The 11085-nt window shown below is 37.9% G+C and overlaps 1 long non-coding RNA gene across 5 annotated transcripts in view; it reads left to right on the top strand.

Annotated features, from left to right (window-relative positions):
- The first annotated feature begins 211 nt into the window (after positions 1–211).
- LINC02855 (long intergenic non-protein coding RNA 2855) overlaps positions 212–11085 on the top strand; it is a 28610-nt gene continuing 17736 nt past the window's right edge. For 2 of the 5 annotated variants that reach the window (NR_183454.1, NR_183453.1), the window contains exons 1-2: positions 212–263; positions 1630–1775. This is a non-coding gene — a long non-coding RNA (long intergenic non-protein coding RNA 2855). The remainder of the gene's footprint in view (positions 264–1629; positions 1776–11085) is intronic. The other 3 variants (NR_183456.1, NR_183455.1, NR_183457.1) reach the window with 2 other exon arrangements.

The raw sequence follows: 11085 nt of genomic DNA, 5'->3' as shown, positions 1-11085 counted from the left end.
TCATACTTGAAGTTTCTTTGCTCCAATTCAGCATTAAAAATTCTTAGAGATTCTCTGCACCACATTGATGTAGGTATGAGTTTGGCTCTGCGATCGCTATTGAGCCACTTTAAAATTGTTCCCCAAGGTCTCTCTCTTATCTCTTTCCAACTCCCTCAGAAAACCGTTAGTGACATTGGAATCTAGGCAGTTGCACAACCCTTTTAATGTCAGTCTTGGAATGAAGACTTTATGCATCACTAGCTGTGTGCATGTATGGTGAGGTAAAATTAATATCCTCTGTGTTGTTTAGTCTATATTTCATTGGCTGGCTGCCTAGAATGACTAAGGAAACTGCCTGTAAAGTTACCCCTTCCCCTCAAAAGAAAAAAGAAAAGGCAAACTCTGGAATTATTTTTACCAAAGGGAAAATTAATAAATGACTTAAAAAAATAAACTAAAAGGAGAAAAGGGAGTCCTCATGCTCGTAGATTCCTTTTTTCTCAAAAGGAAAAGTACTTCATTCAGGCATAGTTGTAGTCAAGCCAAATTGTCACCACGCTCTGGTGATTTACAAATTGAGGGATGATATTCACAGGCAGTGCTTGTCTCACTTCAAATCTTAATGCAAAGTTAATTGTATATCCTGCGTTATGTTCTACAGCATTTCAAGTGATATTGATGACACTAATAATATTATGTAAGGCAATTCTCTGAAAATCCATGAATAGACCTTTTAATTAATCTGACCTTTGGAAGGGCTATGGTCCTATTATATACTGTAAAATAGCTCTGTGTAAATTAAGCTGTGCCTGTGTGTGTGTGTGTGTGTGTGTGTGTGCAGCTACTGTATACATACTCAATTACTAAATGTCAGGGAAAAGATTAAAATGTATTTTCCTCATAAACTGTTTCCAGTCATTGCAGTGCCTGAGGAGAAATGATTCCCTTTTCTACTGACCTCCCATATAGTTTCCAGAGACCTAAATTTTCTTCTTTTGGGAGGTTACATTTTGTATCTTGTGTACACTACAGCTTTAAAGAGAAAAGAAGCCTCCTTGATGTTTGGAAGAACGCTATACATGTTTTATTGTTTTATATCCTCTGATTATTGGCAGCAGTTTTGTTTGAGGTTTCTACTGTCCTCCTTTATCCATCAGATGCTTAGGGACACCTTTAACTGATGCAGCAAGCTTCAAATCTTAGCATGAGCTGTTTCAAAGAAGGTGCAATTTAGGAAGCATAGAGCTTAAAGGAAGAAGGTACATTACTGGAATTAGAAGTATAACAAGGAAAAATACATGTTTGTTATTTCACATTGAATGACATTTAGGTCTGCAATCTTCAATGCTGGAATGAGATATTTTGTTCAGACTGAACCTAAACATGTCAGACATTAAATACAATTTCCCTGCTCACTGAGACTAGATATACATGTAGGCTCTAGGAAACCATAACAAGCTGTTGCCTTTCTCTCTTGAGGTAGCCCTCCTGACTTCGCAGGCTGACTTCCCATGCTTATCTGATGGTTTACTCATATGTTCCCAATACTGGAAACACTTTGTTCCCTGCTGGTGTTTCCCCTTCTGGCTCTCCAGATGGTTTTTGATCTTACGTCTCGAAGGATCTCTCTTTTTCTTCTCTCTCCAGTGACCAATCTACAACTCAAGGGCAGATTGTTTTGTCCTTCCCTCCATTTAGAAACTCTTCACCGGCCTGCTGCCTCCTCAGTTTCTTGCAGTCTAGTCCTGCTTTGTGGGCTTTCAAGACTTACTGAGCAGCAATAGTGTAACAATGTGAGTTCTGATGCCAGCTGCCTGCATTCAAATCCTGGTCCTCTGCTTACTAAGACGGCAACTTCAGACAAGTTCCTTAACATCTCTTTGCCTAAATTTGTTCATCTATAAAATGAAGCTAATAATATCATATATCTGGAATTTTTGAATGGATTCAATGAAATAATACATGCAAAAGACTTAGAATGATGTTGTGTATATAGCAAGTAGTCAGTGAATATTGCCCTTTACCATTTGATCACCTTGGTCAATAATCCAAGAGCACCTAAGCTTATAATATTTTGAACTCTGTCAGTATAATCAAATCTAGTATGTAATATAGAGCATATGTTTATCCAAGAACAGTACAAATAACTTCAGGAATATTAAAGACTAACGATATAGAAAGTACATTTGGCAGGAACCATAATGACCAAAGTCTAAGAGTAGGAGGAGAGGGTAGCAAGAGAAATGGTGATCCTGACTGCTTTCTATCCTCTCCAATATCATCGTTCTAGCAGGAGACGGTGGCTCATGCCTGTAATCCCAGCACTTTGGGAGGCCGAGGTGGGAGGATCACTTGAGCTCAGGACTTGGAGACCAGCCTGGGCAACATAGTGAGATTTCATTCCTAGTAAAAATCAAAAAAATTAGCTTGGCATGGTGGCACACACCTGCAGTCCCTAGCTACTCACAGGCTGAGGTGGGAGGACTGCCTGAGCCTTTGAGGTCCAGGCTGCAGTGTACCATGACTGGGTCATTGCACTCCGGCCTGGGCAAAAGAGGAAGACCTGACTACTCTGTGACACAGTTATCTTATATATATGTGAAATAAAAATAATAAAATAATGTTATTATTCTGAGAATGATATCTAATAACTCAAAAGAAATACTCATGGCCTACATACCCCGATTCTTTTCTTAAAATATACTGTAAATATTTATTAAATTTTACTGTGCCATGTCTTGTGTGAGGGACTTAAGGTACTCAAGGGACTCAGAGTCTAGTAGCAGAGACACATGCCCTACTTTCCTACCCAATTTAATCCCAAATATAGTGTGATAGAGACTTATAGAAAAGTATGGAGGCTGGGCGTGGTGGCTCATGCCTGTAATCCCAGCACTTTGGGAGGCTGGGGCAGGCAGATCACTTGAGATCAGGAGTTCAAGACCAACCTGACCAACATGGTGAAACCCCGTTTCTACTAAAAATACAAAAAATTAGCTGGGCATGGTGGTGGGTGCCTGTAGTCCCAGCTATCTGGGAGGCTGAGGCAGGAGAATTGCTTGAACCTGGGAGGTGGAGGTTGTAATGAGTTGAGATTGCACCACTGAACTCCAGCCTGGGCCACAAAGTGAAACTCTATCTCAAAACAAAACAAAAAGGTATGGCGCAATAGGGAGTTAGGGAAGAATTTTTTATTCATACAAATTTATGACGTACATGTGCAATTTTGTTAAATGCGTAGGTTTTTTTCTTCTTTTCTTTTTTTTTTTTTTTTTTTGAGACAAGTCTTGCTCTGTCACCAGGCTGTAGTGCAGTGGCGCGATCTCGGCTCACTGCAACCTCCGCCTCCCGGTTCAAGCGATTCTCCTGCCTCAGCCTCCCGAGCAGCTGAGATTACAGGCAGGTACTACCACACCCAGCTAATTTTTGTATTTTTAGTAGAGACGGGGTTTCACCGTGTTGGCCAGGATGGTCTCAATCTCTTGACCTTGTGATCACCTGCCTTAGCCTCCCAAAATGCTGGGATTACAGGCGTGAGCCACTGGCGCCTGGCCATGTGTAGATTTTCATGGCGGTCAAGGCTTTTAGGGAATCCATCACCAAGTAATGTACATAGTACTAACTAATTTCTCATCATCCTCCCTCCTTCCGCACCCTCACCCTTCAAAGTCTCCATTATCTGTCATTCAACTCTCTGCACAAATGTGAACACATTTTATGGCACCCACTTATGGGTGAGAACATGCAATATTTGTCTTTCTGTGTCTGGCTTGTTTCATTTAAGTTAATAACCTCAATTTCCATCCATGTTGTTGAAAAAGACATGATTTTGTTCTTTCTTATGGCCGAATAATATTCCATGGATATATATGCCACATTTTCTATATCCATTCATCTGTTGATGAACATTTAGGTTGATTCCATATCGTTGCTATTGTGAAGGTGTTGTGATAAACATATGAGTGTAGGTATTATTTCGATGCATTGATTTCTTTTCCTTTGGGTAGATACCCAGTAGTGGGATTACTAGAATGAATGGTACTTCTATTTTTAGTTCTTTGAGAAATCTCTATATGGTTGTTCAGAGGAGCTGTACTAATTTACATGTCCACCAACAGTGTATTAGAGTTTTCTTTCCTCTATATTTTCATCATCATCTGTTATTTTTTGTCCTTTTGATAACAGACATTTTGACTGGGGTAAGATGATATTCCATTGTGGTTTTCACTTACATTTCTCTGATGATTAGGGATGCTGAGCATATTTCATATGCCTGTTGACCATTTGTAGGTCTTCTTTTGGAAAGAGTCTATTCGTGTCCTTTGCCCGATTTTTAATGGGATTATTATTATGATTTGTTGTTGCTGTTGTTGAATTAAGTTCTTTTATATTCTGGATATTAGTTCCCTGTTAGACAAATAGTTTGCAAATACTTTCTCCTATTCAGCAAGTTGTCTCCTCACTCTATTATTTCTTTTGTGGTGCAGCAGCTTTTAGTTTAATGTAGCCCCATTTGACTATTTTTTTTTCTGTTGCCTATGCTTTTGAAGTCTTAGTCATAAATGCTTTGCCTAGCCCATAGTCTACAAGGCTTTTCCCTAGGTTTTCTTCTCATACATATAGTTTCAGGTTTTACATTTAAGTCTTTAATTCATCTTGGGTTAATTTTTGCATATGGTGAGAGATAGGGGTCTAGTTTCATTCATCTGCATATAGCTATTCAAATTTCCCAGCATAATTTATTGAAGAAGATTTCCTTTCCCCAGTATATGTTATTATCAGCTTTGTCGAAGATCAGTTGGCTGTAAATATGTGGCTTGATTTCTGAGTTTTCTATTGTGTTCCATTGATCTATATGTCTATGTTTATAACAGTACCATGCTTTTTTGTTACTTTAGCCTTGTAATATAATTTAAAGTCAAGTAATGTGAGGCCTCCAGCTGTGTTCTTTTTGTTCAGGATTGCTTTGGCTGATCAAGCTCTTTTTTGGTTCCATATGAATTTCAGAATTTTTTTCTAATTCTTTGAAAAATGACATTGGTATTTTGATAGGGATTGCATTTAATCTGTAGGGCAGTATGGTTATTTATTTACTTTTGAAGAACGAGTCTCACTCTGTCACCCAGGCTGCAGTGTAGTGATGCGATCTTGGCTCACTGCAACCTCTGCCTCCCAGGTTCAAGCAATTCTACTGCCTTGGCCTCCCGAGTAGCTGGGATTACAGGCACATGCCACCAGGCCCGGCTAATTTTTGTATTTTTAGTAGCGACGCGGTTTCACCATGTTGGCCAGGCTGGTCTTAAACTCCTGACTTCAGGTGATCTGCCTGCCTCAGCCTTCCAAAGTGCTGGGATTATAGGCATGAGCCACCGTGCCTGGCCAGTAGGGTCATTTTAACGTTATTTCCAATCCATGAGCAAAGGATGTTTTTCCATTTTTTTGTGTCATATATTATCTCTTTAATCATTTTTATAGGTTTTTTTTGTAGAGATCTTTCATGGTTGTTTACTCCTAGGTATTTTTTGTAGATATTATAAACGTGATTGCCTTCTTGATTTCTTTCTAGCTAGGTTGTTACTGGTATATATACACACTACTGATTTTTGTACATTGATTTTGTATTCTGCAACTTTACTGAATTCATTTTGCAAACCAAAGAGTTATCTGGTGAAGACTTTAGGTTTTTCTAGATATAAGATCATATCATCAACAAAGAAGAAGAATTTGACTTCCCCTTTTACAATTTGGATGCCATTTATTTCTTTCTCTTACGTGATTGCTCTGGCTAGGACTTTTAGCACTATGTTGAATAGGAGTGGTGAAAGCGACCATCTTTGTCTTTTTTCAGTCCATAGAGAAAATGCGTTCAACTTTTCCCCAATCAGTATGATGTTAGTGGTGGGGTTGTTTTACATTACCTGTATTATTTTGAGATATGTTTCTTCTATGCCTAGTTTGCTAAGGGTTTTTATCACGAGGAGATGTTGAATTTTATCAAATTATTTTTCTGAATCTATTGACATGATCATATGGTTATTGTCCTTGATTCTGTTTATGTGAAGTATCACATTTATTGACTTATGTGTGTTAAACCATCCTTGCTTCCCTGGTATAAAACCTCATTGACCATAGTATATGTTTTTTTTTTGATGTGCTGTTGACAGGATTGCTATTTTGTTGAGGATTTTTACATCTATGGTCATCAGAGATAAAATAGTTTCTTTTCTTCTTGTGTTCTTGTCTGGTTTAGGTATCAGGGTGATACTGGCATCATAGCACAAGTTAGGAAAAGTTTCCTCCTCCTGGACATTCTGGAAAAGTTTTAGGAGGACTGGTATTACTTCTTCTTTGTACATTTGGTAGAATTTGGCTGTAAATCTATCTGATCCTGAGATTTTCTATGTTGGGAGATTTTTTATTACTGATTAAATCTCTCTGTTCATTATTGATCTGTTCAGGTTTTCTATTTCTTCCTGATTCAATCTTGGGAGGTAGTATGCTTCCAAGAGTTTATCCTCTAGGTTTTCTGGTTTGTGAGCATAGAGTTGTTCATAAGATCTTTTGTGTTTCTGTGGTAGGAGTTGTAACATCTCTTTTTTCATTTCTGATTTTGTTTACTTTGATCTGTTCTCTTCTTTACTTGGTTAGTTTAGCTAGCAGTTTATCTATTTTGTTTATTTTTTGAAGAACCAACTTTTCTTTTTGTTGATCCCTTGTACTGTTTTTGTTGTTGTTGCCTCTATCTAGTTCTGTTCTGATCATTATTTCACTTCTGCTAATTTTGGGTTTGGTTTGTTCCTTGAGGTGCATCATTAGATGGTTAGTTTTTTATTTTTATTTTACTTTAAGTTCTGGGATACATGTGCAAAATGTGCTGGTTTGTTATATAGGTATATAGATGGTTAGTTTTTAATCTTTCTACATTTTTGATGTAGGCATTTAATGTTATAAACTTCTTTCTTAGCACTGTTTTTGCTGTATCCCAGAAGTTTTGTTTGTTGTGTTTCCATTTCTGTTTGTTTCCAATTAAAAAAAAAAATTCATCTAAATCTCTTTGTAGGTCCAATAGTCATTCAGGAGCATGTTGTTTACTTTCCAGGTATTTCTATAGTTTCCAATGTTCCTCTGGGTATTCTTAGTGTTTTCATGTTGTGATCGGAGAAGATACTTGATATGGTTTTGGTTTTTTACATTTGTTGAGACTTATTTTGTGGCTTCAGATACGGTCTGTCTTAGAAAATGTTCCATGTGCTGATGAAAATAATGTATATTATGCACTTTTTGGGTAGAATGGTGTATGTTTGTTAGATCCATTTTGTCTAAAGCCCAGTTTAAAACCAATGTTTCTTTGCTAATTTTCTGTCTAGATGAACTGTCTCATGCTGTAAATGGGGTGTTGAAATACTATTTTGTATTGATGTCTCTCTCTCTCTTCAGTTCTAGTAATACTTGTTTTATGAATCTGAGTGCTTCAGTGTTGGATGCATATATATTTAGAATTGTTATAGCCTTTAGCTGAATTGATATTTTTATCATTATATAATGACCTTCTTTGTCTTTTTTTTTTTTTTTAACTTAAAGTCTGTTTTATCTGATATAAGCTTGTCCTGCTCACTTTTGGTCTCCATTTGCATGAAATATATTTTTCACCCCTTTACTTTCAGTCTAAAAGTGTCCCTATTGGTAAGATGAGTTTTGTAAGCAGCATAGAGTGGAATTATGTTTTTTTTTAATTTTGTTCAGCCAATTTATATATTTTAAGTGGAGCACTTAATCCGTTTATGTGCAAGGCTATTACTACTATGAGAGGTTTTGTTCCTTTCATATTGTTAATCATTTTCTATTTGTCTTATAAATTATTTCTTTTTCTCTTACAGTTTGTAATTGTGGTTTCAAATTCTGTAGTGGTGCCATTTGATGACTTTCTTTTCCTTCTTTGTGTGATTGTTTTACCAGTGAATTTTATACTTTCATGTGTTTACATGCTGATAAATGTCCTTTTGATTCCAAGCTTAGGACTACTTTGAGCATTTCTTTAGAGATGCTCTAGTGGTGACTAATTTCCTCAGCATTTGCTTATTTGGGACTTTATTTCTCCTTCACTTATGAAGGTTAATCTCACTGGATATCATATTCCTTACTGCCAGTATTTTCTTTCAGTATGTTTAATATATCATCCCATTCTCTTCTGGCCTATAGGGTTTCTGCTGAGAATGATGGAGTTTCCTTTGTAGATACTAGCTGCTTTTCTTTTGCTGTTTTTAGAGTTAACTCTTTCATTTTAACTTTAGACAGTCTAATTTTAAAATGCTGTGGTAAAGTCCTTTTTGCACAGTTCCTGGATATCTAAATCTCTTTCTAGACTTGGTAAGGTTTTATCTATCATTTATTAAATTGCTTTTCTAAATTTTTTATCTTTCTTCAGGTTGGGATAGTGATACTTCATAAATTCAGTCATTCTATGTTGTTTCAGATGCCTCAAAGTCTCTGTTCATTCTTTTTATTCATTTTTCTTTATTTTTGTGTAACTAGGTTATTTCAAAAAACCTGTCTTCAACTTCTAAAATTATTTCTTTCACTTGATCTAGTCTATTGTGGAAGCTTTCTAATGTATTTTGTATTTCCGTCAATGCATTATTTAGTGTCAGCGTTTCTGTTTCAGTTGTGGAATGCTCAGGACCCTGGATTTTGTGCTTTGTCTCCTAGTGGGAGCAAAGCCAGATGGAGCCAGCCTGGGTAGGCTTGTGCTCAGACCTCCCAATGGTGATTGCCTGTACCAGCGATAACAGACAAGGGAAGGACGATCATCAGGTACTTGGCAGAAAGCTCAGGTGAGGGGTGACAGTTGCTACACTGAAGTCCTAGCAAGGGGAAAGTGGGGCCATCCCCAGTGGCCACAGTCTAGAGCAGTATGTGGGATATATGAATCTCTCTCATGTTCTGGTCCTGATGGGGCTTGCTCCTCAGTCCTGGCTGTTGCAACAGACCTGGATTAACCATCAGACCCCACAGTCCATCGCTAGATCGCAACTCAGCCCTTGGCCATAGGAGCCCCTGCCCAGCTAGAGATCAAGCTTCCATGGCATCTGGAATCCTGCTGAAGTCTCAGGGGTGGGACCCACTTCCCAGCATCTGGTGGCTGCTGCCCACACCACAGTTCTGGCTGCAGAAGTTCACTCTGCCCTTGTGCCCAGTTCTGTAAGCAGTAGTCCAAGTTTCCCTAATGCCTAGGACCAGTACTATTAGATCACAGGACAGTGCACAGTCTGTTAAAAATTTACAATAGAAAATGTACAATAGAAAATGTAAGCAGCTACAGCTGCTTAGGTTTCATAAAGGGAGTGGGACCTAAGGTATGTTCCCTCCCTAGGGCGGTTCCTTCTCATAGTCTCCCAGCAGTTCCCTAACTTAGTTTTAGGATTTGGGAGGGCCAAGATGCTCTCCCACGGCCTGGACTGCACAATCCTCCAGTGGGAATGTGGACCACTGAAAGACTCTCACTCACCCTCTCCCCAGATTAGAGAGTCACTCCCAACTCCTAGTTGTTTTTGGCCAAGCAGGCTGCCTGTTTTCCTTCTCCTTCCTCATTTTTGGTGTTTCCTGTTGCTTTTCTGTTGCATTTCTTTGTCCCTCTTGGATAATGTATTCAAAGTGTGATTGTCTACACACTATTTTGGTTGTTCTAAGTGGATGAGATGTGCTTGAAATGCCTCTCGTCAGCCATCTTGACCTCTATTCCTGACAACACTCATTCATTATCAGACTATAACTTTTTAATAATCAGTAGGATCTGTCTCTCCCCTTTACTCTTAGTATTACCATCATTATATCGGTCACAGGGATTGCGTTAGGGATGAGAAAGTTCCAAGCCATGCTAATGAGTTTAAATTCTGAAAATTTCTAAATAATTTTTGGAATAGAGGCAGCCAGTTTTCCATTGTGATAGGGAAATGCCTCTCACCATTTTGCTCCATATCTGAGGACAAGGGAGAGACTGTCTTCAAAAGAAGTCAACTGAGTCAAGTCAAGATAGGAAGGGAGAAACAGAATCCTAATAACATCACTCGAGTCTCTCAATCTAGCCATCACGAAGAAAACCCTAGGTGAAATTTGCCAGTACATAAACAAGAAATTTTTCTTTTCTTAAATAATTTTGAATTGGGTTTTCTGTCTCGAAGAGGGCTGCCTAATACAGAGACCTACTGATAAAAACAAAACAAAACAAAAACCTTTCCTTGCTTGATCTCTAAGCTTATTCTCTCTCTCTCTCTCTCTTTCCTCTCTCTGTGTCTCTCTCTCTCCCTGAAGTTTGTAGGATTCCTGTAGTAGCAAAACCCCTTTCCTGTTCTGTGACTTTGCTGATTTTTTCTCAGTTACTTTCCATCGCTAATACATAACTATGCCATCTTCTCTTGCCTATCTGCAGGTCTAGGGTATGAAAGCATTGGTGGACGATGCAGGAAGTGAGGATTTGGCAGACAGTCTCTGCTCTAAATCAGACACATACTTCTTATTAGTGCATTAATCACTTTGAGCATCTTATTGCTCACTTATCAATTATAATCACCTAGTTTGTTTCTCTTCTCTATGCTATCACCTGCCTATTCATAGAAGCTTGAGTAAGGTGTGTGAAGTAGTAAGATTCAGACAATAAGGATTATAGTGGCCAATACCCTAAGTTGTAGTATGTGAATGTTTTATAATGACACCTGGTATACAGATACGTCAAAGTGGCCATAATATGTTCCGAATCCTAAAACGAAGTGAAAACAAAACAAAACAAATAAACAGAAGTAGCAACTCGATCACAACAATTAGAATTTAATGCTCTGAAGAAATGATACGTTTTGAAAAATGAGTAAGGAAGGGTCTTTCAGAACAAGGATATCCAAATAGATTTTGTTGCATTTTTTCTACATCACAGTAGCTGCTTTAATTCTTACTTTAAACTAGGTAATCTAGAACAAGTCTCTGAGCATCAATTCAGCATATCTTCTAACATGCTTCTACAGAGTTAGCACACAACATTGCACTTAGAAGGCTATAAATCGATATGTTTAATTAGTTTATACTTTCATGAGTGAACATATGAATGGATGCTTA

Source organism: Homo sapiens, chromosome 8 (genome assembly GCF_000001405.40).
Source record: "Homo sapiens chromosome 8, GRCh38.p14 Primary Assembly".
Taxonomy (NCBI): Eukaryota; Metazoa; Chordata; class Mammalia; order Primates; family Hominidae; genus Homo; species Homo sapiens.
The sequence above is the reverse complement of the archived record's forward strand: the minus strand, read 5'-3'. Positions and strand labels throughout refer to the sequence as shown.